Source organism: Homo sapiens, chromosome 6 (assembly GCF_000001405.40).
Source record: "Homo sapiens chromosome 6, GRCh38.p14 Primary Assembly".
Taxonomy (NCBI): Eukaryota; Metazoa; Chordata; class Mammalia; order Primates; family Hominidae; genus Homo; species Homo sapiens.
The window spans coordinates 34,861,311-34,888,383 of record NC_000006.12 but is presented as its reverse complement, the minus strand read 5'-3'; the positions used below and the strand labels follow the sequence as shown (position 1 = coordinate 34,888,383).

At 42.0% G+C, this 27,073-nt stretch overlaps 2 protein-coding genes and 1 pseudogene across 5 annotated transcripts in view, besides 2 other annotated features; 1 reads left to right on the top strand and 2 right to left on the bottom strand.

The window, feature by feature from the left end:
* Positions 117 to 668: an enhancer, noted in NCBI's record as "H3K27ac hESC enhancer chr6:34855493-34856044 (GRCh37/hg19 assembly coordinates)". NCBI's record gives its function as "activates a minimal SCP1, AML or CMV promoter by ChIP-STARR-seq in naive and primed H9 embryonic stem cells {active_cell/tissue: H9 hESC(naive and primed)}" and the evidence as "EXISTENCE:reporter gene assay evidence [ECO:0000049][PMID:30033119]".
* Positions 216 to 565: an enhancer, noted in NCBI's record as "active region_24393". NCBI's record gives its function as "activates an Ori minimal core promoter by ATAC-STARR-seq in GM12878 lymphoblastoid cells {active_cell/tissue: GM12878}" and the evidence as "EXISTENCE:reporter gene assay evidence [ECO:0000049][PMID:35858748]".
* TAF11 (TATA-box binding protein associated factor 11) lies at positions 313 to 10,922 on the top strand. 4 transcript variants are annotated; one of them, NM_005643.4, is made up of 5 exons: positions 342 to 597; positions 5,304 to 5,452; positions 8,008 to 8,095; positions 8,321 to 8,417; positions 9,664 to 10,922. In NM_005643.4, exons 1-5 carry the CDS (start codon positions 427 to 429, stop codon positions 9,792 to 9,794), a joined length of 636 nt encoding a protein of 211 aa, NP_005634.1. In that variant the 5' UTR covers positions 342 to 426; the 3' UTR covers positions 9,795 to 10,922. The 4 variants fall into 4 exon arrangements, with proteins under 4 accessions (NP_001257417.1, NP_005634.1, XP_047275226.1 ...); XM_011514827.3 differs by lacking the exon at positions 342 to 597 and adding an exon at positions 2,356 to 4,985; NM_001270488.1 differs by lacking the exon at positions 8,321 to 8,417 and having other exon boundaries at positions 313 to 597; positions 9,664 to 10,606.
* The window catches only part of BLTP3A (bridge-like lipid transfer protein family member 3A), an 85,432-nt gene continuing 69,228 nt past the window's right edge, over positions 10,870 to 27,073 (bottom strand). Inside the window, exons 15-21 of the mRNA NM_017754.4 lie at positions 24,186 to 24,382; positions 21,005 to 21,159; positions 20,768 to 20,918; positions 17,268 to 17,530; positions 16,692 to 16,800; positions 16,459 to 16,565; positions 10,870 to 16,071 (exon numbers count right to left, since the gene is read on the bottom strand). Coding sequence (NP_060224.3) covers positions 15,946 to 16,071; positions 16,459 to 16,565; positions 16,692 to 16,800; positions 17,268 to 17,530; positions 20,768 to 20,918; positions 21,005 to 21,159; positions 24,186 to 24,382 — 1,108 coding nt within the window. The 3' untranslated portion in view covers positions 10,870 to 15,945. The remainder of the gene's footprint in view (positions 16,072 to 16,458; positions 16,566 to 16,691; positions 16,801 to 17,267; positions 17,531 to 20,767; positions 20,919 to 21,004; positions 21,160 to 24,185; positions 24,383 to 27,073) is intronic.
* RNY3P15 (RNY3 pseudogene 15) lies at positions 14,458 to 14,541 on the bottom strand (annotated as a pseudogene).

Sequence of the window (27,073 nt, the reverse complement as noted above, 5' to 3'; positions counted from 1 at the left end):
CCGGGGAGCCTCATTCCACGACACCGCCATACAACGGAACTGAGTTTTCTCCCAGTCCCCCAACTTTACTCTGAGGGGTTAACGAAGGGATTAACTGACATTGCATTTTTAGACAGGCGAAAAGGAAAAAGTTATTTAGTAAACAAAACTGCGCTCCTTCACAAGTGCTGGTTTCCTAGCGAGGAGGATCCATAGTCTGAGCTCTTTACGTCCAATTTTCCCGCTTCCCACTGTCGCCAAACCAAAGTTAAAATGAGTCCTCTAGTCCTCTACGCGCGCCTCAAAATGACCCCTCAGGAGAGCGGTAGGGGTGATGTCATCGCTGCGCGACGACAGGAAGTAAGATCCTGGCCTGTGCAGCTCGGGTTTCCGAGCTTCTGCCTCAGGCATCTCCGCGATCTCCTCTCCCCTCCAATCCTATCCGTGATGGACGATGCCCACGAGTCGCCCTCCGACAAAGGTGGAGAGACAGGGGAGTCGGATGAGACGGCCGCTGTGCCCGGGGACCCGGGGGCTACCGACACCGATGGAATCCCAGAGGAAACTGACGGAGACGCAGATGTGGACTTGAAAGAAGCTGCAGCGGAGGAAGGCGAGGTAGGAAGAGATGTACTGATGAGGCTGAAGGAATACCCAGAGATTGTGTTACTGGCTGCTCGCCGGGCTTCTGGTTAGTCCCTAACAAGTTACGAGAACTCGAACTCACCAGAATTCCCTCCAGATCGTTAATCTTGAGGGGGAAGAGAGGGGACGACCAAACAAAACTCCAGTGCTGGTTCGGTTCCAGAGGCTCAAGCACTGTTAATATTTTTAGTCTTGTCTTTAGGGATTAAAGCTACTTCTAAGGGAGTTATAATAGCCCGTTGGCTTTGGTGGTGAGGAAATTGGGATCCAATGTCACACTGAGACGTAGTGCAAGAGCTAAAACCCAGGATTCGTAGCACCCCTTTCACCGCAATATGGTTCCTCTTAGATGTTAAGACAACTTTTGTCTTTATAGGAAGGAGGGTCGATCAGACCTGTCAAAGGGAGATAGACTTTTATATCGAAAAGTCTATATCGATATAGACTTTTATATCGAACACGATTTAACCTGAGAGTCGCCCGGGCTGGAGAACAATGGCGCGATCTCTGGCCCACTGCAACCTGCGCCTCCTGGGTTCACGCGATTCTCCTGCTTCAGCCTCCCGAGTAGCTAGGATTACAGGCGCACACCACCATGCCCAGCTAATTTTTGTATTTTTAGTAGAGACGGGGTTTTACCATGTTGGCCAGGCTGGTCTGGAACTCCTGACCTCGTGATCCGCCCGCCTCGGCCTCCCAAAGTGCTAGGATTACAGGCGTGAGCCACCGCACCCGGTGATCAGGGACCCATCAATTGGGTCTGGTGTTTTTATGCTACAGAGAGTTCAGCAGTGTTGCCTAGCTGAGTATCGGTCAGGACCAGAAACTCATCGTTCTCAGGATTACATTTCTAGAAGTAGAATCTTGGGGTCTTACAGCTAGAAGGGATTTAAGAGATCGTGGGTGAACAGTAGATTAGATGGAAATAGCCTTTCAGAGCATAAAGTTGCATCAAAATGTATAAAGTACAAACTTTTAGAAAAAGAGAAAATTTGTCTGGGCGTAGTGGCTCACGCCTGTAATCCCAGCACTTTGGGAGGCCGAGGTGGGTGGATCGCCTGATGTCAGGAGTTTGAGACCAGCCTGGCCAACATGGCGAAACCCCGTCTCTACTAAAAATACAAAAATTAGCTGGGCATGGTGGCGGGCGCCTGTAATCCCGGCTACTTAGGAGGCTGAGGCACAAGAATCGCTTGAACCTGGGAGGCGGAGATTGCAGTGAGCCGAGATCGCACCACTGCACTCCAGCTTGGGTACCAGAGACTCCGTCTCGGAAAAAAAAAAAGAAAAGAAAAGAAAGAAAAAGGAAAAGAGAACATTTGACAAAAGTATTTTAAGGCAGGTTTTTTGTTTGTTTTTTGTTTTTTGTTTTTTGTTTTGAGACCGAGTCTCGCTCTGTTGCCCAGGCTGGAGTGTGCAGTGGCGTGATCTTGGCTCACTGCAAGCTCCTTTAAGGCAGTTTTTGTTTGTTGAGACAAGGTCTCACTCTGTCACCCAGCCTGGAGTGCAGTGGCACAGTCTCTGCCTCCTGGGCTCAAGCAATCCTCTTATCCCAGCCTCCCCAGTAACTGGGACTGCAGGCATGCTGCACCACGCTCATCTAAAGTTTTTGTTTTGTTTTGTTTCGTTTTTGAGACAGAGTCTCGCTCTGCCGCCCAGGCTGGAGTGCAATGGCGCAATCTCGGCTCACTGCAACCTCCGCCTCTCAGGCTCAAGCGATTCTCCTGCCTCAGCCTCCCCAGTAGCTGGGATTACAGACACGTGCCACCGCGCCCAGCTAATTTTTGTATTTTTAGTAGAGCTGAGGTTTCACAAGTTTCACAAGTTGCCCAGCCTGGTCTTGAACTCCTGACCTCATGATCCATCCGCCTCGGCCTCCCAAAGTGCTGGGATTATAGGCATGAGCCACCGCACCCGGCCAGCTAAAGGTTTTTTAAATATTGTTTTGGTAGAGACAAGGTCTTATTATGTTGCCCAGTCTGGTCTCCAACTCGTTGGGCTCAAGCAATCCTCCTGCCTCAGCTTCCCAAAGTGCTAAGATTACAGGTGGCAGCCACCATGCCTGGCCAAGAAGGAAACTTTAAAACAGGTGTCAAGGACAGCAAGGATTTGAATAATTAGCTTAGTACACAGAGGGCTCACTACATATCTAAATTTGCACCGAACAGAGGATAAAATTATGTTGTTTCTGAAACACTTTTAAAAATCGATCATGTACCAGACCACAAAGAAAAATATGAACTCTTAAAAGTAGAAATCATAACAGGCCACATCTTGTTAATGTAATGCATTAAACTTGAAATTAACTACAAAAAGCTTCTCCCCCACCAAAAAAGAACTAACCCCCTGGAAATTTTAAACTATTTTTTAAATAGCCTTTAGACTAAAGAAATTAATAGAACACTTTATCAAAGTATATGGGATTTGGCCAAAGCTTTATTTAAAGAAAAATATATAGCCTTACATATTTTTATTAACAGCCAGAAGATATTGCAAATAAGCACCTAACTCAAGAAACCAGAAAAAGGGCCTAGTGGAGTGGGTCACGCCTGCAGATCTAGCTACCTGGCAGGCTGACACAAGAGGATCACTTGAGGCTTCAGTGAGCTATGATCCAGCCTGGGCAACAGAGCGAGTCTGGGGGAGAAAAAAAAGATAAAGAACAAAATAAATCAGAAGAATGTAGGAACAAGGAGTTAATAAGGATAGAAGTAGACACTAATGAATTAGCACATTAAAAAACATAAATGATAAAATTAAAACATTATTTAAAATGTAAATGTATAACATTACAAAATATGAAAGGCTATAGGCACTAATATGGAGATCTTTAAAGTTATAAAGACATTTAATGTTCAAGTTTAGGCCAAATAAATGTGAAAATCTGAGAAAAATAGGTGATTTTTTAAAGGAAAATACAAACCACCAAACTTGAAGCACAGTTAGAAAACTTGTATAAATCAGTAACTAAAAAGAAATTGAAAAGATTGTCAAAGATAGACTACCTTCATCCCACCTATTCCCATATTCCTGTATGAGTTTAAATTTGAATTCCTCTTTAGGGACAAGTTAAATCTCATTAATGAGTTTTGTAGTATACTTAAGATTCTACATTAAGTCAGAGGGGGTGAAGTTTGGATTTGATTTTTATTATTAAACAGCCAGTTTTTTAAGTTCAGGGGTACATGTGCAGGATGTGCAGGTTTTGTTACATAAGTAAATGTGTGTCATAGGGGTTTGTTGTATAGATTATTTCATCACCCAGGTATTAAGCCTAGTGTCCCTTAGTTATTTTTCCTGATCCTTTCCCTCCTGCCACCCTTCATCCTTCCATATACCCTTCACCCTTCCATATACCCCAGTGTGTGTTCCCCTCTATGTGTCCGTGTGCTGTCATCATTTAGTTCCCACTTATTAGTGAGAACATGCAGTATTTGGTTTTCTGTTCCTACATTAGTTTGCTAAAGATAATGGTCTCCAGCTCCATCCATGTCCCTGCAAAGGACATGATCTCCTTTTTTATGGCTGTATAGTATTTCATGGTGTATACTGGAAAATACATTTTCTTTATCCAGTCTACCATTGATGGGCATTTAGGTTGATTCCATGTCTTTGCTATTGTGAATAGCACTGCAATGAACATAAGTGTGGATGTGTCTTTATAATAGAACAATTTATATTCCTTTGGGTATATACCCAGTAATGGGATTGCTGGGTCAAATGGTAATTCTGTCTTTAGGTCTTTGAGGAATTGTCACACTGCCTTCCTCAATGGTGAACTGATTTATACTCCAACCAAGAGTTTAAAAGCTTTCCTTTGCCTCCACAACCTTGCCAGTATCTGTTATTTTTTGACTTTTGAATAATAGCCATTCTGACTGATATGAGATGGTATCTCATTATGGTTTTGATTTGCATTTCTCTAATCAGTGAAGCTGACCTTTTTTTCACATGATTGTTGGCCACAGGTATGTCTTGTTTTGAGAAGTGTCTTTGCCTACTTTTAAGTGGGGTTTGAACAGGCATTTATTAAACATCCAGCATAAGTAAAATTGCATTAAATGCTGATGGGGGGGAGATATAAATAATAAGAGACAAACCTATCTTCAAAAAGACTAGTAATGTGAAATAAACATTTGCATGAAACAGTAGGATTGAAGAATAAGAACAAAAGAGCACTACGTGTGAGAAGCTCACTTGAAAGTCCCAAATTGAAATAAACACTGTTTTGATGAGAAGGGGCCTCCTTTTTAATATTCTTTCCATGTGGAATCATCAGCAGTAAAGAGATCTATAGATCTGGAAGCAGAAGAGCTGGCTGGATGGAGGGGACTTTGCTGACATCCCCTCTGAAAAATAAGGTCAGAAGAGTGGGCCCGGGGGAGGGTGATTTTCATGATCCATGGCATTTCATTACCCTTGTAAACAGATACTGGAGCTGTGCTCATAGCCAAACTGGAAAACTAGATTATTTAGCAGGTTTTCTTTCCATAGCTGAGCCATAATCTTCCCTTAGGAGAGATACTGTATCTTATCCTTGATGGTACAGTCAGTGCCTAGAACTGAAAAACTACTCAATAAATGGATTTGTTGTTTTGTGATAAGGATGATGTCTTCTTACTTTGCCCAAGCCTGGAAAGTAGGCCAAATATATAATAGAGTTTCTTTCATCTTCCCAGCTCGAGAGTCAGGATGTCTCAGATTTAACAACAGTTGAAAGGGAAGACTCATCATTACTTAATCCTGCAGCCAAAAAACTGAAAATAGATACCAAAGAAAAGAAAGAGAAAAAGCAGAAAGTAGATGAAGATGAGATTCAGAAGATGCAGTAAGTCACTTTCTTATCATTCCCCATTTCGAGGCTCTCACTTGACCACACAAATTTAATAAATTTTTCTTGGTGTTTAAATTTTCTTTTATAAACTCAAAAGAAAATAAAACGATTAATACATTATGGCTGGGCATGGTGGCTCACGCCTGTAATCCCAACACTTTAGAAGGCCAAGGTGGGAGGATTTCTTGAGGCCTAAGTTTGAGACCAGCCTGGGCAACATAGTGAAACCCTTTCTCTAATGTTATGTTATGTTATGTTTTTTTTTTTATTTTTTATTTTTTTGAGATAGAGTCTCACTGTGTCGCCCAGGCTGGAGTGCAATGGTGTGATCTCGGCTCACTGCAGCCTCCACATCCTGAGTTCAAACGATTCTCATGCCTCAGCCTCCCGAGTAGCTGGGACTACAGGCATGCACCGCCATGCCCAGCTAATTTTTGTATTTTTAGTAGAGACAGGGTTTCACTATGTTGGCCAGGCTGGTCTTGAACTCATGACCTCACGTGATCTGCCCGCCTCGGCCTCCCAAAGTGCTAGGATTACAGGCATGAGCCACTGTGCCCGGCCTCTATTTAAAATTTTTTTTTTTTGAGACAGAGTTTCGCTCTCGTTGCTCAGGCTGGAGTGCGGTGGTGCAATCTCTGCTCACTGCAACCTCCGCCTTCTGGTTTCGAGCGATTCTCCTGCCTCAGCCTCCCAGGTAGCTGGGACTACAGGCTCCTGCCACCATGCCTGGCTAATTTTTGTATTTTTAGTAGATACAGGTTTTTGCCATGTTGGCCAGGCGGGTCTCGAACTCCTGACTTCGTGATCCGCCCGCCTCAGCCTCCCAAAATGCTGGGATTACAGGTGTGAGCCACTGTGCCTGGCCAAAAACAATTTTTTCAAATAATTATGTTACAGCATAGAAAATATAAATAGATAAAAAGAAGGCCGAGATCGGTGGCTCACACCTGTAATCCCAGCACTTTGGGAGGCTGAGGCGGGTGGATCACTTGAGGTCAGGAGTTTGAGACCAGCCTGGCCAACATGGTGAAACCCCGTCTCTACTAAAATTACAAAAAATTAGCCAGGTGTCGTGGTGGGTGCCTGTAGTCCCAGCTACTCGGGAGGCTGAGGTAGGAGAATTACTTGAACCCAGGAGGCAGAGGTTGCAGTGAGCCAAGACTGCGCCACTGCACTCCAGCCTGGGCGATAGAGCCAGATGCTGTCTCAAAAAAAATAAATAGATAAGAAGAAAAAATAATTACCTTACCACAGAGATATATCCTGCTTATAAGTTTCAAGATAGTTTCTATACATATATATCTATAAATTTTTTTTTCCACAAATGTCAAATACTGTTTTGTAGCCTATTTTTCACATTAGATATGGTGAATGTTTTCCATGTCACTAATTATACATCTAGGTCATAGTTTTCTTAAAAATAGAAATAGCTTTATTACATTTTCTGATTGTAAAAGTAGTATGGGCTCATTGCAAATAATTCAGAGAATACAGAAAAATAGAAAAAAATCACCCATAAACTCACCACGCAGAGTTCACTCTAAGTATATAGTTGGGTATAATGTTTGGGTATGTACCTTTTCAAAGTTTTTTTAGATGTTTGATATGTATAGCTAAATATTTTCATGTCAGTAAATATGCTCATAAATCATAATTTTTAATGGCTACATTGTATCCCATTATGTTGTTGAACTATAATTTAACCAATCCCTATAGTGCTTCTGGTTGGGTATTTTTACTTTTGACATTATGATGAGGATCTTTGGACATATCTTTGCATACTTGTCCATTACTTCCTAAGATAAACTCCTAGAGGTGTAATTGCTAATTCAAATAGTATGAACATTTTCAAAGGCTTTTCATATGTATTTCCAAATTTCTCTCCAAAAAGGTGTTCCAGTTCACTCTGCCAGCATGTGTTTGTGTCCCATATTCTAATACCATTCTTTTTTTAATAGTGGTCTGATTTATGAAAAATGTTATCTATGAAAATAATATTTCCTTAGTTAATAATGAAGGTTGTTTCCCCCATGTTGATTGACCATTGGTATTTTGGTAAATTTCCTGTTCATGTACTTTGTTCATTTTCAAAAATTGACATGGCCCCTTTATTCATTTGAAAGAATTATACATTAGGAGTATTAACTGTTTCCACATATTTTGCAGATATTTCCCCTAAATCTGTTAATGTTGAAAACTACTGGTTTGATTATAAATTTGTATATTAAATTTTTACCATCAGTGTGAAATTCAATAAGATAGAGTTATGGAGATAGTGTCTAATGCTGCAAACAGTCTGTGTAGTACGATACAGTGACCCAGTGTTGTTCTTTTTGTTAACAGGTAAGAAAAGAAGTTTTTGTTTTACGTTTTCTCAAATTCCTTTGGAGTAGAAGTGTTTTATCTTCATTCCTCAAGGCACCAAGCCTAATGCCATTGACCCCTTTAAGAATTCGTTTTTGAATTGTCTGAAACTTTTATTGACTTCATAATATCTTGAGTATTCGTTCTTATAAGTTAACTTAGTTACCTGGATCTTTGTTTAGAATCCTGGTTTCTTCTTTTTCTGAGGAGCAGCTGAACCGTTATGAAATGTATCGCCGCTCAGCTTTCCCTAAGGCAGCCATCAAAAGGGTAAGGATGGACCACCACACTTCATCTCCATCACGTTTTAGAACTGAACTCAAGAGCCATGTCCATTGGCATTTGAAGTGAGGTGTTAGACAAGTCAGGGGATTATTTAGGTGGGAAAAAAAATGCACTTCAGTTATCTTACCTTTTTCTGTGAATTACTTGGTACTGTGTTCCAAAGCCAGTCTTTGACTATTGTGATCACGGAGTCTTTGTGCTTCTTTCAAGCTGATCCAGTCCATCACTGGCACCTCTGTGTCTCAGAATGTTGTTATTGCTATGTCTGGTATTTCCAAGGTTTTCGTCGGGGAGGTGGTAGAAGAAGGTGAGTAGTGTTGGTTACAAATACTGGATTGTACCTGTGGTGGTCTTATTTTTAAGAATATCTACACAAAGGAGCTTATTAAAGCACCTATGGGAGTTCTCATTTGCACTTGAAGTTGACCAAGTGGGGAGCCCTTTATTTAGGAGAACATGACTGTTATTCCTTGCAAGTTTCAATAACAGATGGTAAGGAACCATCTGGGAAATCCCCTCCCTGATTCCTTTCCTCAGCCCAGGGTGAAAGAAGTAGACTTTGTATTTTCTGCAGTGGACTTTGCTCATTTCTGCTGCCAAAAGTAAAGATACAAGAAAAGCAATCACAGGGGTGACCTGTGTGGGATGGTGAGTTGTCCCTAATGTTGTGATCCCTAGGAACTGCCTGACCCCTTTATTGAGTAAAAAGCCTGGCTGTTTCCCATTGCTACTCTAGCTGGTGAAATTTTTTTTTTTTTTTTGAGCAGGAGATATATACTTTTAAATTATTATTATTTTTTGAGACAGGGTCTCACTCTGTCACCCAGGCTGGAGTGCAGTGGCATGATCTTTATTATTTTTTTTAATATTTTTTATTTTTCCTTTTACAAATCACAAATTAAGATGGTATACAAAATGAGATGGTAACAGTGGTGTGATCATAGCTCACTACAACCTCAAACTCCTGGGCTCAAAGGATCCTCTTGCCTCAGCCTCCCAAGTAGCTGGGACTGTAGGCGTGCACTACCATACCTGGCTAATTTTTAATTTTATTTTTATGTAGTTATTTGAGACAGGGTCTCACTCTGTCACCCAGGCTGGAGTGCCTTGATCATGCGATCACAGCTCACTGTAACAGTTAGCTCCTGGGCTCGGGTGATTCTCCTGCCTCAGTCTGAGTAGTTGAGACCACAGGTGCGCACCACCACCCCTGGCTAACTTTTTAATTTTTTGTAGAGACAAGGTTTGGCCATGTTGCCCAGGTTGGTCTCGAACTCCTAGGCTCAAGCAATCCTCCCACCTTGGCCTCCCTAACTGCTGGGATTATAGGCATGAGCCACAGCATATGGCCTATAGGAAATATATTTTAAACTGTTGTCTATGATAAAGCCTGTTATGAGACGTTATACTAATATTCTCTTAAAAAGGAAAAATGTCTGTTTATTTCCTTAGCAAGCTTAAGAAAAGTTAACAAGAATTACAGGACTCAAAAGGATTATGTGATTAGTAAATTATTGTGTGATAATCAGACTTTCTCCTTACCCTCTGTTTAGCACTGGATGTGTGTGAGAAGTGGGGAGAAATGCCACCACTACAACCCAAACATATGAGGGAAGCCGTTAGAAGGTTAAAGTCAAAAGGACAGATCCCTAACTCGAAGCACAAAAAAATCATCTTCTTCTAGACCAAAGTCTAGAAAGGCCTATGTTACTGACGGAAGAAGTATTGGTTCCAGACTTCCTATAAGACTGTCTGCATTGGTGCTTTAGTATCTCAGGCCTCCAAGGATTCCATGATGATTTTAATGTCTTTCTCAAAACTCTGATATTTGTCACACCTAGAAAGTATGTAGCCTGATTGATACTTGCCTTGACTAAATTTTGGGACCTCTTGGGGCATTTTGAAGTATTTAACTGTCTTGACCAGTTGGAAGAAGATACGTGGGCCATAAGCATCTTCTGGACAGGGGAACTGCTTTCAGAGAGAAAACCTTTCCAAGAGAGTTTTGTTTTGTTTTGGTTTCGTTTTGTTTGAGATAGGGTCTTGCTCTATCACCTAGGCTGGAGTGCAGCGGCATGACTGCAGCCTTGAACTCCTGGGCTTAAGTGACCCTCCCACCTCAGTCTCCTGAGTAGCTAGGACTACAGGCACACACTACTGTGCCCAGCTAACTTATTTTTATTTTTTATGGAGATGGGGTCTTGCTTTGTTGCCCAGGCTGGTCGTGAACTCCTGGCTTCAAGCAGTCCTCCTGCCTCAGCCTCCTAAAGTGCTGAGGGCTTTAATGGTTTCACATTGAAGCCTGAAGTTGCTAAGACTTAGGTTGTTTCTTATATCTGGTTTTAAGTAGATGAAACAACCAGAAACTTTTACTTGTGATACTCTACCATGAAGGATGCGGTAATGGCAGGAATAGCAGAATAATTGGTGCTTGTAAACATTTAAGATTCTCCTGTGGATTTTGGTGAGTGATCATTAAACTGTTTTCCAACTTGCCCTAGGTGTATTCATTTTCTGTCTAGCTGGTTGGAATGGGAAGTTGATCATTCTTTTTTGGTGTTCCAATACAACTGGTTTTGGCTATTTTGTGAAAATTTGAGCACTTTTTCTAGTAGAACCATTAAAATTTTATCTCATAAAAGAGTACTTCAAGCACTGTTAAAAACAGTGTAATAATTCCCCCCCCAAGACTGAGATGAAAATAAACAATATAAAAGCCCATATATTTCAGATTCTTATCAACGGATATACAACAATCATTATGGTTTAATACATTTAATTTGTTTTTTCAGGTGGTTCACAGAACCAGTACACTCAAAGTTTGACTAGATATTGCAACATTAAAATTTCCCAATACTGACAAGGATTCTAGTTCATCAGATACATTCTCATTGTTTTCCTCAAATAGAGGTGAATGAAGTGACCTTTTATTGACAGTGATTAGCAGTAATAAGGCTATTGTATGTAACTGGCATCCCCAAGAATTCTTTCCTCACTACCATTCAGTGTCATAGGGAGGATTTTGAAGCTGTTCTCTCGTGAAGCTTTCCTGAGCATGTCTTAGTAAAGATTCTAATTCTCTTTAGCACCCTCAGTGGGGGAAACAGAATTAGATACTGAAAGTATCTTACATTAAAACCCATGGCTTTAAACATGTACTTAGCCAATGGAGAAGACACTTCAGTGGGGCATTCCACAAATAAATGCTTTAAGACTCAGGCTAAATCTTGACCAAAAATTAATAAACTGACAAAAAAGATACTGTCTCAGCATTAACAGGAATTTTTTTTAGAAGTCACAGGAACTATATCTATTGCAATTAGAGATACTGAATAAGGCTTAAACTTAATAAATAACAAGTGAGGAAGATCAAATCCCAAGTCTGGCCACTTAGCAAAGCCTCATTGTTGAAGGTTATCCAAGAGTGTTTCCCCTTGTGCCATGGGGAAAATAATCCCCGTTCAATAGCTACTACCTATACCTACCCAGAGGTGCATGGGAATAATCCTATTCCGACAGAAGGTAGGGGAGCAACTAGGTAAAGGCCTTAGTGTCTGAAAGGATAGTGCTTCACACCAGATTCTCTCTGAAACCCTTAGTAATGACTATGATAAATCATGAGGCAATGACACACCTTTTACTGTTCTCAAATAACAAGATGTCATCGAACTAACTTGTGTACCAAAGTTCAGTTGTTTCCATAGTTTTATGATTTTACTATAACTCATTTTAGAATTTTAGGCAAATATTGAGAGAAAAAAAAGCCAGGGTAAAGGGTTGGAATAAAAAGTTCCCATATTACTATGGCAATATTTCAAACTACCTTCTTTGCACTACCACCCATCCCCCAACCCGTTTACCACTAAGGGGAAAGTAATCTAAGTGAGTTAAATGGAAGCATTTAAGTTACAGGGGTATGTGAGGGGTGGTGTTTATACCTTGTATATTCCACACACGGGAGCCAGTCCTTTCAGAGCCATAAAAAGCACACATAAAGGTTGAGGCCCATGGCAAAATGAGGGTCAGGTGAAATATATGGTAAAGAGCAGCCATCATGTGAATAGAACCCACCTGTTTTATATCAGGAACACCAGATTAATTATTCCAGTGAGTTGAAAACAGAATTTGGGATTGATAGCCATCCTTGCAGCCCAGTTAAAGACAGGATTTAAACTCTAGTCCATACACACTAAAGCATATCCCCAGCACATGCATGTAAACAGGAAATGCAGACAATCACAGATAATACAGTTGTAAATGCTTCACAGCTGAATTGGTAATGTGCAGTGGCTGAAGTCTTTGAGGGACAGTGGTGCTATCTCTCCAGACATTTTCTTGAGGTATTGTTATTTCTTGTTCCAAGTCTTGTAGCTCTAAGGCAGAAATCATAAGCAGTCCAAAAGGGCTGACACTGCTACTTTTTCCTTGCATATTTTCCTTTACACTTAATCCTGAGGACTACCACCACTTCGCATTTCTTCATTATGAACACGAATATGAAATTAGGCAAGCTGATTTTTACTAAAATCCCATGGGATAATATCCCCTATCACATTTCCTGAGGGAGAATTTCAAGACACAATGGCCAAAGCTGCCACATAAGGAAAGACAGAAATTCTAAGGCTCCATTTGTGACATGGACAAGAGCTCTGGACTCCTTTAGAGAGCCCAGAGACCTAACTGAGCTCCAGCCATTAGGAGGTTAGCCTTGGTACTTACTGGATATGTTTTTACTCCCACCCCACAAGCACAAGTGTAGGTAAATTATACCAAGAAATGCCTATTCGACATTTCTTTGCATGGAGGGATGCCAGAGGTATATGGTGGGTGAGGGGAGGAAGGGATGAGAAGAGAATCAGAATATGATTTTAAACCAATTCAGGTGAGCCTAACGTGGAATAATTATATTTTCCAGCTACCAGATCTCCTTCCTCCCCCTTCAAGAACATTAGAGATGCCATACTTGACCAGTGATCCATTCAGATCAACATTCTGCCTTTGAAAGAGGCACTAAGGAGTAGTTTGTTGAGGGACACAGTTACCCTCTCAGTTGTATATTACCAAGTAGCCCTACTTTTCTATAATTCCTTGTAGAAGGCCGTCATGCAAGGATTCCTCATAAACCTGCACCCATGTATAGTTTCTGGTGGCATCCCTTCTTAGACAATGAGCTCCTTACATTTCTGATTTGCTATGAGAAGTGCTTTCTTTACTAAGGCTATGAGATAGAGCCCTAGAGCTAGTAGTACAGGACCGGGTCCTTGCTCTTGATTGGATATTTGATCTAACTCCCCTCTGCTTTCATCTTTGCAGGATAGAGTCTATATTTTAAAAATGTGTCCTCATATGGATATACCTCCATCCCCTGATAATTTTGGCTGTTCTCTGGACCTTTCCTCCCTTTATCATATATCTTGTAAATAAGGTCACTAGAAACACAGATAATCCGATCAAGACATATCCATGGTTTTGTATAAAGTGCTGTTCTCTGTTATCTCCAAAAGCCCTTCCTGATGATGCCCACAGGGCAATTAGGCTTTTGGCCACAGCAGCACATTGATCTCTCCTCCCCCTCAGCAATGCTTGTTTCTTTCCTGAGTTCTAACAGTGTTCAGGCATATCAGTTGATAATTCTTCCATAAATACATTTCCTTATATTATGTTGAACCTCACCTGTCAGTTTTCTGAGTATTCTCAGCCCTGCTTATTAGTAACCCTTCTGTGGTTTTGTGTTTGTTTGTTTGTTGTGAGACGGAGTCTCACTCTGTTGACAGGCTGGAGTGCAATGGCGCTATCTCGGCTCACTGCAACCTCTGCCTCCCGGGTTCAAGCGATTCTCCTGCTTCAGCCTCCCGAGTGGCTGGAACTACAGGCACCCACCACCACACCCAGCTAATTTTTGTATTTTTAGTGGAAACAAAGTTTCACCATGTTGGCCAGGATGGTCTCGATCTCCTGAACTCGTGATCTCCCCGCCTCGGCCTCCCAAAGTGCTGGGATTACAGGCGTGAGCCGCTGTGCCCGACCGGTTTTGTGTTTTTTAAACCTCTTCTAGATTACCTTTCACTGCCTGGAAGTAGTGACATTTGATTTCACTGTAAAATCCTACTTTCAGGTCATTTATAAAAATTTTAAATAAGGTTGAACCAAGCATCAAGCCTTAGGTAACTTCCCATTAGCATCTTCTCCAGAAAGATGTTTCTTTGTTCCTAAGTCTCTATTTCTTAAGCATGAAAAATTCCCACCATCCCATAGTAACTGGTGTTTCAAAAATTGCCTTAGTAAAGAAACTTAACAAAAGTCTGAACAAATTGGGTCCTGTTCCTTGGTGAATACATTTTTTTTTTCTAGTCAAATGAAGTGTTGAGAGTGGAGAAGGAACAAAGAAATCTATGATTGGTTGTGATCAATTAGTTGTAAACACCACTGCAATTACATGTTTCTTTTTATCCTCATCAAACTAGAGTATGCAAGTCAAGCATAATTTCCCATAGAAGAAACCTTTTTACCTTTCCTTCAGTATGGAAAGGTGAATGGTCGAGACTTTAGTAACATCACTAAGTTACTATTTTACCATCTTGCCAAGTAAAGGTAAGTTAGCTGATGAACGTCTGTCCAATCAACACAGCTTCAAGTGTATCACAGGGCAGTATGAATGAAGGGATGGTGTTGGAGAAGAATTCAAAGGAAAGAAAGGGGGAAATAGCTCTCTTATAGGGCAGGGGGCAAAACCTAGCTGGGATGAGGGATTTTTGTGTTTTTTTCACTTGAGTCAAAATACATGAGTTTTAAAAGCCACAGTGATGGAGGGAAGTGAGAGGCAACAGGTTGAGTTGTTTATGTAAAAGTTTAAAACATATATTCAGCTCCCAAACCACCAAGGGCTGAGGAGAGAACTGGTAAGGTCACAGAGCTGGGAAAGCAGATGTGCCAGGGACCCCAGGGAGACAGAAGAGCCACTCAGCACAGCTGGGAAAGACAAGCAGGACTCCAGGCGGACAACAGGGGGCTCAGAAGCAAGCTCCCCCACTGACCCCTGGCATATCATGCCACCAACCTAGCTCAGCGTCAGAAATTTTTTCTTGATTTAAATTTCAAGTAAGTTGTATTATAGAGGGGAAAGATTAAATGACTGAGCCACTACTGTTATTTACTTTCTACCACAGCATCACAATGATGAAAGTATAACAGAAAGGAAGCTTAACCTGGAAAAATCTGATTGTGTTATCAGCCAAATTGCTATGAGCTTGGTTCCTTTTCCCAAAAAGGCAGAGTCCAGGTCTCCCTTATTCTTGTGCCTCTCCTGCCCCCTTCCCCCACACTCCTCTGCTGGACTATTTCCTGTTCCACTCCACTACCATGGCCAAAGCTCAGGTCATGGACTTTTCAGGTCTGCTATGGGAAGCTCTGGGACATGGAATCTTTGGTGGCTCTGTGGGTGACCGAGGAGGTGGGTACTTTTGCTTGTTCACACAGGCCTGTGAAGGAAGCAAATGTCCCTGCCATGAAACCATGAGGTGAAATGGCCCTACAGTGTTGAGAAGATTCCACCTAGTACACAGAGGACCAAAAGGCTTTATACAGGCAAGACATGATGCTTGTGCCACACACAGGGCAAGCCCCAGTTTCCTGGGATACAATCATGCTTTGCCCTTGTCCTCAGTCCAAGTAAGAACAGCTAGTGGAAAGCACACCCACACAAGTGAAGTGAGTGCTCCCCAGTCCCTCTGGCATCCGTAGTGACTTATTCAGCACTGGACAGTGCCCTCTGTCCTAGGTGGTGCTATTGCTGGTGATAGCCTCTCTCCTTGGCACAGATGGCTGAGCCACTGGTTTCAGAGCTCAAAGAAGGGGTTATATTTCCTAATCTCCTGAAGAAGTTTTTCTTTATCCTGGTTGGCATTGGCCAAGGCTTGTTTAGTTTCTATAAGTTCTTTTTGTAGGATAGGCAGTTCTTTCACCTGAGGAACAATAAGTAGTTAACAGTTAAATACGGTAATACCATCTTGCAACAACCGCCAGTAAAGGGAACAGGGAGGAAGAGTTCAAGGAGAAAAATCCACAAGTTATGTCAATGATTAAGATAACCATATCTTTTCTAAGACCTTGATTCCCTCTTCATAGTTCATTGGCAGGTGCAGTATGTCCTCAGCAACCATTCGTCTCCAGCTCCTGACATTTATCCTCTAGTCAGCACTTCTAGAAGCCGCTGCTAGGTGACAGGAACCCAAAACACCCACATGCAGGCAGCACACGCAACCTTTTTGCCCCCCAACCCCGGGTTTTACCAGTTTCACAAGTATAGCCCCCAAGGGTTATGGGCAGCTACTGTTCTGTTAGGTCCTCACCTGCTGTTCAAAAACCTCTCCTGTGGGCACCAAAAACACCTGTTCTTTTGGGGGCTGTCTCTTCTCACTTTTAAGTACTTCAGCTGATGGTTTGTCCTGAGCAGCAGCTGGAGAAAACAAGTAAAGGTTCTAAGTGACAAACTGCTGCCAACTCCCAAACAGTTCCTAGGTGTCACCTATTCACTTTTAGGAGAAAAGGCAGAGAAACCAACAGGCTGACAAGCCTGACTCACCGCCTATGTGGAACACACCATCATCACTCCTCTTCAGCACAACATGTTCCATGGCCAGAGTGATGGGGATGGGGCCTGGAGATGTTGGATAGATGGGGGGGATATCATCCTGCAGGAAAGAGAGAAACCACATGATGCCCCCCACCAGCTCAGAGCAATTTAACACAACCCATGCTCCCATCATTCAGCTTGAAGCAGCTTTATGCCAGTTTGTCCATACATTCTTGGAAGGTATAAGAGGCATGGCAGATTCTCCCATCTAGAGATGGTGAAACTGAGAATCAGATAACCTGATGGCTTGCACATGGTAATGCTGCATGCCAAAGACAGGGTTAGGGTTACAGACAAGGTCTCCTCACCTGAACCCTGGCTTTTCTGACAGCAACACACATTTATATACCACTATAACACTGACAGAGAATGCAAATATGTATTAATATTTCCTCACTTGATCCTCACCATATTTTACAGTGAAAAGGGAAGAGGTTAACAGGTGTCACTGCTTCCTTGCTTGACAAAGTCCAGGGCAAAAACCAATGTGCCCTTACATTGGCAAAAACCAAAGGTTCCTCACACCTTTAGGGTGATGCTGGAGTTCAGAAGCTCAATCTGCATGGGGACTACCACCGGGATCTCCTCATCCTCCAAGAAGGGCCCCAGGCCACTGAGCACTGAAGTGAGCAGCTCGAGGTCACAGCCATGAAGCAATAAATGTAGGAAGCCATTTTGTGAGGCCAGGGGGGAATGAACAGCTGCTCCAGGCCCCACCTCAAAGCGAAGGCCCACAGCTGGCCTGATGTGGCCAGTCTTCAAAGTTGAGGATTCCTGAAAGCATGTACCTTTGTGAAGAAAGACAAGGAAGACAACTAATTAACGGCCAGGGAGTCTTCTAGGCACCTTATATACCAATATTCATAATAACCCTATGTCAAAGGAATATCATCATTCTCATCTGACTGAACGAAGTCACAGAGAATAACTTGCCCAAAATTACATAATTAGTAAGTAGCAAGGAGAGGATCTGAACCCAGGCAGTCTGATTGCCAAGTCCATGGGCTTAGATACTTTGCTATAATGCCTTGCAAGGTGGAAGAGAGATTAAGGATTGGCCTTGTTATGAATGTGAGACAGTGGGCTAATGGCCAAGGAAAAGCTCTTAAAACACAGGACTCCCAAACTCTACTAAATTTGAATGTCTCCTCCTTTCTCTAAGTCTTGGTTTTCTCATCTGTCACTCATAAAGCAAAGCAGGATCTATGCTAATCTCTCCAAAACTCCAAACAGAACACTCTCAGGTGTAGCCAAGGATCCTGTGGAACAACTTACACATTTATGGAACTGCAAATTGGTACAAACATTTTGCATAACAATTTGGTATTATCTAGTAAAGGTGAAGTTGTGCCTACCCTAATGATCTAGAAATTATATTGTCAGAAATACAACCCCAGGGAAACTCTCAAACATATATTCCAAGAGACATGTACAAGGATGTTCACAGCAACCCTATTTGAAACTGGAAAAACAAACAAACAAACAAAAACTAGAAATAACCCAAATGGCTGTCCAGAATAGAATAAAGAAGTAAATAGTATAATGGGTACAGGGATATTTTGGGGGTCATGGAAATGTTCTAAAATTGGGTTGTGGTGATGGTTACACAATTATAAAATTGTACACTTAAAATGAGTGAATTTTATGTTATGCAAATTATACTTCAATAAAGCTGTTTTCAAAAAGCAAAAAGTGCCGTGCACAGTGGCTCATGCCTGTAATCCTAAGACTTTGGGAGGCTGAGGCGGGTGGATCACTTGAGTTCAGGAGTTCAAGACCATCCTGAGCAACATGGTGAAACCCTGTCTAAAAATACAAAAAAATTAGTCAGGCGTGGTGGCAGGCACCTGTAGTCCTGGCTACTGAGGAGGCTGAGGCATGAGAATCACTTGAACCCGGGAGGCGGAGGTTGCAGTGGGCTGAGATTGCAACCACTGCACTCCGGCCTGGGCAACCCAGCAAGACTCTGCCTCAAAAAAAAAAAAAAAAAAAAAAAAAAAAGTGGTGTATGTATACAATAACATTATATAGTAATGAAAAATGAACAAATTATAGCTAATTCAACAACCTAGATGAATTTAAAGAATATCATGTTACTTGAAAGAAGCAAATCACAAAAATAGTACAATCTATTATTCCATTTAGAAAAATGTGAAAAAAGCTAAAAATACATTAATATAAACACGTGTACAAATTATAAAGTAAAGCAAGATAACAATGAATACAAATTCAGGATAGTGATTACCTATGACAGGTGAGGGACAGAAGGAGGTTCAGGAGAGGGACTCCCAGAGACTTAAAAGGTAATGGTACTGTTGTATTAATTAAACTAGGTGGTGGGGCCAGGCATGGTGGCTCAGGCCTGTAATTCCAGCACTTTGGGAGGCTGACATGGACAGATCGCTTGAGGCCAGGAGTTTGAGACCAGCCTGGTCAACATGGTGAAACCCCATCTCTACTAAAAATACAAAAATAAGCTGGGCGTGGTGGTGTGTGCCTGTATTCCCAGCTACTCAGGAGGATGAGCCAGGAGAATTGCTTGAAGGAGGTGAAGGTTGCAGCACGTCGAATTCGTGCCACTGCACTCCAGCCTGGGCAACAGAGCAAGACTGTGTCTCAAAAAAAAATTAAAAAACAATAAAACAAACTAGGTGGTGAGTAAATGGGTTCATTGTATTGTTATTATTTTATGCCTTACATATATTTTATAAGTGTTCTTCAGTATCTACTCAATATTTTAATGTTTTTTAAGAGACAGGGTCTTGCTCTATTGCCCAGGCTGGAGTGCAGTGGTGCAATTATAGCTCACTGTAGTCTCAAACTCCTAGACTCACATGATCCACTCACCTCAGCCTCCCAAGCAGCTAGAACTATAGGCACGCACCGCCACACCGAGCTAATTTTTTTTTTTTTTTTTTTAAACAGAGTCTTGCTCTGTCACCCAGGCTGTAGTACAAGGGCGCGATCTCGGCTCACTGCAACCTCCGCCTCCCCGGTTCAAGCAATTCTCCTGCCTCAGCCTCCCAAGTAGCTGGGATTACAGGTGCCTGCCACCACACCTAGCTAATTTTTTTGTATTTTAGTAGAGACGGGGTTTCACCATGTTGGCCAGGGTGGTTTCAAATTCCTGACCTCAAGTGATCCACCATCCTGGGCCTCCCAAAGTGCTAGGATTACAGGCATGAGCCACCACACCCAGCCTGTATTTTTTGTACAGCTGAGGTCTTGCTATGTTGTTCAGGCTGGTTTCCCACCTCAGCTTCCCAGCGTGCTGGGATTACAGGCATGAGCCACCATGCTCAGCCTAAAAATATATTTATATATATATATTTTTTGAGACAGAGTTTCACTCTTGTCACCCAGGCTGCAGTGCAATGGCACGATCTCAGCTCACTGCAACCTCCACCTCCTGGGTTCAAGCAATTCTCCTGCCTCAGCCTCCCAAGTAGCTGGGATTACAGGCACCCGCCACCACGCCCAGCTAATTTTTATATTTTAGTAGAGACAGCGTTTTACCATGTTGGCCAGGCTGGTCTCGAACTCCTGACCTCAGGTGATCCACCCACCTCAGCCTCCCAAAGTGCTGGGATTACAGGCATGAGCCCCGCGCCCAGCCAATAATTTTTAAATGAAGTATGTAACATAAGCCAAGATTTTTCTTGTCATCTTTTATAAATGAAAATTCACATCAAAGGACTGAATCTGAATGACAGAAGTTCCCTGATCAGATAGTTTTATGTTAAGAGACACACAAATGAAGTGGACACTGTCCTCATCTATAAGCTCCAGGAGTACCTGGAAGTGAAGTTGGAGACTAGCACAGTGAATGCAAAGCCCCAGAAAGAGCTCTGAGAGGCTCTTTGCAAAAAAGGCTTCAATGGAGTTTTTCCTCCCCCTAATGGCTGCTGGAGAGAACTTGGCACTAGTAGAGTGGCTGCCCTTAGAGCACAGTGACAAGTACAAGTTAATCTATGGCTGTCCTAGACAAGTCCCATGATCTGTCGTGGAATGACTACCATCCTTACCTGGGCACTGTCCATGCAGGAACTGCCAGAGTCCCACGGTGCCCAGCTGCTGGAGGGTCAGTTCCTCTGCTTGCAGGGCCACAGTCAGGTCCTCACCACGTACCTCAATCCCAAAAGACACCTCATTCACCTTCAGGACCAGAACTGAGACCTATCAAAGGAGATTCTCTTAGTTTTAAGTCCCAAGCTCTCAGCCCAGAGCCTACCCTCTGCAGAGAAGAAAGTAGAGCTGCTGACCGGGTGAAAGATGAGGTCTTCTCCACTGGGTGAAACTGAACTGTTGGCTGCTGGTGACCCCTGGCCATAATTATTCACAAGAGGGCTCCCTTGAACACCAGCATTATCTGAGACATTTGAAAGAGATCCTGGTGGAACAGATTCTGGACCAGACTCTGCATGAAAAAGAGGACAAATGAATTTAAAAGTCAAAATATTCTGTTCAAATCCAACCTCTACAAACAATGACAACTGTAAAAATAAAACAAAATACTTATGACATTCATGAGACAACTAGAAATTTGAGGACTAACTAGATATTTGATGAATTTAAGGAATTACTCTTAATTTTTTAAAGTGTAATGACATTTGATCCCATTTTTAAAAGTCTGTAAACAGAAGCAACCCAAGTGTCCTTCCATGGATGCAAGGATAAGCAATGTGGTATATAAATACAATGGAACACTATTCAGCCTTAAAAAGGAAGGAAATTCTGACACACGCTACAAAATAGAAGAATCTTGAGGATATACCAAGTGGAATAAGCCAGTGATAAAAGGACAAATACTGCATGATTCCACTTATATGAGGTACCTAAAGTAGGCAAATTTATAAAAATAAAGTAGAATCATGGTTGTCAGGGACTGAGGGGAGGGGAAATGAGGAGTTACTGTTTAATGAGTACAGAGTTTCTGTTTCGCAAGAAGAAAAACATCCTGCAGATAGACAGTAGTAATGATTGTACAACAATCAGAATGTACTTAATGTCACTGAACTATCCACTTAAAAACGGTTAGGATGGCAAATTTCATATGTATTTTACCACAATTTAAAAAAATTTAAGTCTGTATTTTCTAGCAATGCATAACTGAAAATATTTATGGACAAAAGGATATGTTTGGGATTTGCTTCAAAATATTATGAGATGAAGGAAAGTGGGCAGTAGTGTTTATGAAACAAAAATGGCCACGAGTTCTTTTTTTTTTTTCTTTTTTTTGAGATGGAATAGTCTCGCTCTGTCGCCCAGGGGAGTGCAATGGCGTGATCTCGGCTCACTACAACCTCCACCTCCTGGGTTCAAGCAATCTCCCACCTCAGCCTTCTGAGTAGCTGGGATTACAGGCGCACGCCACCATCCCTGGCTAATTTTTGTATTTTTAGTAGAGACAGAGTTTCACCATGTTGGCCAGGCTGGTCTCAAACTCCTGATCTGCCTGTCTGGGCCTCCCAAAGTGCTGGGATTACACGCGTGAGGTACTGTGCCGGCCTTCTCTTTCCTTTTAGACTGGATGCTTCCCAAGGCAGAAATCCAGTCACAAGTTTAATTGCTGTCTAAGGTGAATATATAAGAACCCCAGGAGATTTTTCAGAACTTTAATTTAAATTTGAGAATTAGGTTTCACCTTAAGTGATCCGCCCACCTTGGCCTCCCAAAAGGCTGGGATTACAGGCGTGAGCCACTGCCCCGGGCCTGCCATGAGTTCTTAATTTCAAAGCTAGGTAATGGGTGTATGAGGGTTCATTATTTGATTCTGTCTACTTTTGTACATAGACATGAAATCTTCCATAAGAAGTTAAAAATAATAACAAAACAAACATGGTACATGCCACCCAGCTTAAGAAACGGTGCATTCTCTTAAATTAAAACCACAGTGAAATATTAACTCACTCCTGTCAGAATGCCTATTCTCAAAAAGATTAAAGATAACAAGTGTTGGCAAGGATGTAGAGAAAAGGAAACCCTAGCACCCTGTTGGTGGAAATGTAAATTAATATGGGCATTATGGAAAACAGTATGAAGGGTCCTCAAAGCTAAAAATAGAGTTACCATATCCACTTCTGGGTATATATCCAAGGAATATGAAAAAAAGTATATCAAAGAACTATCTCCATTCCTGTGTTTACTACAACATTATTCACAACAGCCAAGTTATGGGATCAACTTATGTGTTCATCAACCAATGAACAGATAAAGAAAATGTGGTACAAACACACAATGGAATACTATTCAGCCTTATGAGAGGGAAATCCTGTCATTTGTGATAACGTAGATGAATCTGGAGGACAGACAATATGCTAAATGAGATAAGCCAGGCACTGAAAGACAAAAATAGCATGTGCTCACTTACACATGGAATGTAAAACAACTGTACTCATAAAAGCAGAGAGCAGGATGGTGCTTAACAGAGGCTGAAAAGGGAAATGGGAGGGGTTAGGAGGAAATGTTAGTGAACGTGTAATGTTTCAGTTAAACAGGAGAAATAAATGGTAAGTATTTGAGGTGACGGAGATGTTAATTAGTTTGGCTCAAAAATCCCACACTGTATGTGTGTGTGTATATATCATAGGATCGCTTAGTATTAATACCACATAGATACAATTATAATTTGTCAATATAAAATAAATAAATAAATAGGACATTCTCTCTTTTTTTTGAGATGGAGTCTCGCTGTCGCCCAGGCTGGAATGCAGTGGCGCAATCTCAGCTCACTGCATCCTCCACCTCCCCGGTTCAAACAATTCTCCTGCCTCAGCCTCCCGAGTAGTTGAGATTACAAGCACCTGCCGCTAAGCCCAGCTAATTTTTCTATTTTTAGTAGAGACAGGTTTTTACCATGTTGGCCAGGCTAGTCTCCAACTCTCGACCTCAAGTGATCCACCCGCCTCGGCCTCCCAAAGTGCTGGGATTACAGGCGTCAGCCACTGTGCCCAGCCTAGATACTCTTAAAGGATCATTTCCTAAGTTTCTATTATTTCAATAAACTGAAAGAACCAGTTTAACTTACAGAGGTAATTCCTAAAAGTTTCTCATTTTATTAACAGATAAAAAGCTCCTATTTTCCAGTGACAACACAGGCAAAAAAAAAAAAAAAAAAAAGACTATAAGCACACTCACACCACTGATACCAACCATGAAACTAATCCTGACTTAGCTATAAGGCTGTAAGACTAGTGCTTTCTCCTTTGGTTTGAATCTCTTTCTGTGATATAGTCAGTTATTAACCAATAACCTAGAAACATGGAATTAAACCCAAACCCACAAGTCCACCAAAATTTCTCTGTCTCTCTTTTTTTGTCTTGATTAAGAAAATGTCTATATTATCATCTCTCAGCTCCTCTTTAGCCCTGCCAGTCTGATACAGGCAGCAGAGAGAACCCTTTCTGGACTTCTGCAACTTTGCCTGGCTCTGCTCCCACATACCAGACTCCAAGAGCATCACAAAGCTATCACTGCCATCACTGTCCACTGAAATCCGGTCTTCAGGGCCACTGCTATCCAATGAGACACCATCAAATGACTGTTGAGATACCGTCCTCTTCATGGAGAAAAATCGGAGTCGTGCAGCACCTCCACTCACTGGGGCTGCCACCCCCTCATCTGTCTTGGCCATGGGCTCCCTGTTTAAAAAAAAAAACAAAAACCACAAATGTGGCTTTGGAGACATGTTTATTCCCATCCACTTACAATACCCATCCCTTTCAGCTCAGACAACTGGATAAAGTTCCCAATATTAGGAACATACAACTTTGACATTACCTATTACTGGCTGTAAAGAGATCAAGTCATTTTTCAATCACTGGCCTTTCTGAATCTTTTTATTCCAACATCGCTAACTGCATGGACAGCGCTCTCATATCAACATTAAATGTCAAGTTTATTCAAGGTCATCCCAGACTCAGAAGAGACCAGCTACCTACTGCTCTGGTGCTGATGAATGGCACCTGAAGCCACCTGCATTCATTCCATAAGTATTTAGTTGCTTCTGTATGTAAGGCACCATACTAGGCACTAGGCAGGAGTGGGAGACGGATAAATTGATGAGTAAGACATCCCCAGTTCTAGACAACATCAAAGAGGAAAAAGGACAAGGAGAAGAGGATCAAGAGTGGCTTTGTGGTAAGAAATAACATTTGAGGTGGTCCTTGAAGGACTGTGAAAGTGAGAAGAGGGTATTCTATAGGCAATGGCATAAACAAAGGCATACAGCCAGAAACAAAAAGAAACTGGTAAGAATAATAGCTCTGCCCAGCTGAAGCATAGGTTTTGTCAGGGAGAGCAATGGAAGATAAAGTTAAAAAGGCATTAACACAGTGAAAAGAAACCTTTAAGGACCTTTAAATACCACCCTCCCATTTTACAGATGAAGAAACTGTCCCAAGGTTACAGTTAAAGGTAGAATTAAGAAAAACTCAGGCCGGGCGCAGTGACTCACGCCTATATTCCCAGCACTTTGGGAGGCCAAGGCAGGCAGATGGCTTGAATCCAGGAGTTCGAGACCAGCCTGGGCAACATGGCAAAACCTGGTCTCTACAAAAAAATACAAAGATTAGCCAGGCATGATGGTGCGCGCCTGTAGTCCAGCTACTGGGGGCTGAGATGAGAGGATCACCTGAGCCTGGGAGGTCGAGGCAGCAGTGAGCCGAGATCACACCACTGCACTCCAGCCTGGGCGACAGAGTGAGACTTCATCTCAATAAAAAAAAAAAGCAAATTATCAGGCCCCATCTCATTCCATGAATGAGAAATAGGGCTCAGAAAACTATGTTTTTGGTTTTTTTTTTTTTTGAGATGGAGTCTCACTGTATTGCCCAGGCTGGAGTGCAGTGGCATGATCTCGGCTCACTGCAACCTCCACCTCCTGGGTTCAAGCAATTCTCCTGCCTCAGCCTCCAGAGTAGCTGGGACTACAGGTGCATGCCAACACACTCAGCTAATTTTTTGTATTTTTAGTAGAGACAGGGTTTCACCGTGTTAGCCAGCATGGTCTCCATCTCCTGACCTCGTGATCTGCCTGCCTCAGCCTTCCAAAGTGCCGGGATTACAGGCGTGAGCCACCGCGCCCAGCCACTATGTTTTAACAAACCCTGCAGGGGATTCTGAGAGAGAAACTATTAAGAAGCACAGACTGTTACAAACCTGAAAGTTTGGCAAATGCATCAACAACTTTAAAAATGTTTGTAGCATTTGACCTAATAATTTCACTTTTTGGTTTTTATTTTATTTTATTATTATTTTTTTTTTTTGAGACGGAGTCTCGCTCTATCACCCAGGCTGGAGTGCAGTGGCATGATCTCAGCTCACTGCAAGCTCCGCCTCCCAGGTTCAAGCCATTCTCCTGCCTCAGCCTCCCGAGTAGCTGGACTACAGGCACGTGCCACCACACCCAGCTAATTTTTTGTATTTTTAGTAGAGACGGGATTTCACTGTGTTAGTCAGGATGGTCTCATCTCCTGGCCTCGTGATCTGCCTGCCTTGGCCCCCCAAAGTGCTGGGATTACAAGCGTGAGCCACCGCACCCAGCCACTTTTTGGTTTTTATTCTAAAGAAAGATTTAGATATGTAAAATATTCCAAAGATTAAAGTTCACAAAAATAAGGACATTTCATACAGCATTGGTTCTACCTGAGTAAAATGGGAAACAGACTAAATGACTCCCCAGATAGAGGAATGGATCAATAAATTATGATATATCAATTTACTAGAATATAATGGAGCAATTAAAAATCATGTATTCAGCCAGGGGAAGTGGCTTATGCTTATAACCCTAGTGCTTTGGGAAGCCAAGGTGGGAGAGTCACTTGCGCCCAAGAGTTCAAGACCAGCCTGTGCAACATGGTGAAACCACATCTCCAAAAATAAAAATAAATAAAAATCATATATTCATATGCCTAATGAATGGGAAAATATCATAATAAAACATTGAGTGAATAAAGCAGCATGTAACATTGTAGAAATAATATAATCCTATTGTTGTAAAAACAGTATTTGTGGATATTATATGCATAACCATCCACAAGTGCACACATGAATGCAGACATACAAAGATTGGAAGAAAATACACCCAAATGTAAACAGTGGTTATCTGTGGATTGTTACAAGTGATTTTTATATTTTCTTCTTTACTCTCTTATTTCCTACACTGTCAACACGATAAACACAAACCATTTTTATAATTTAAAAAATTAAAATTATAGGCCAGGCACAGTGGCTCACACCTGTAATCCCAGCATTTTGGGAGGCTGAGGTGGGTGAATCGCTTGAGCCCAAGAGTTTGAGACTAGCCTGGGCAACATGGCAAAACCCCATCT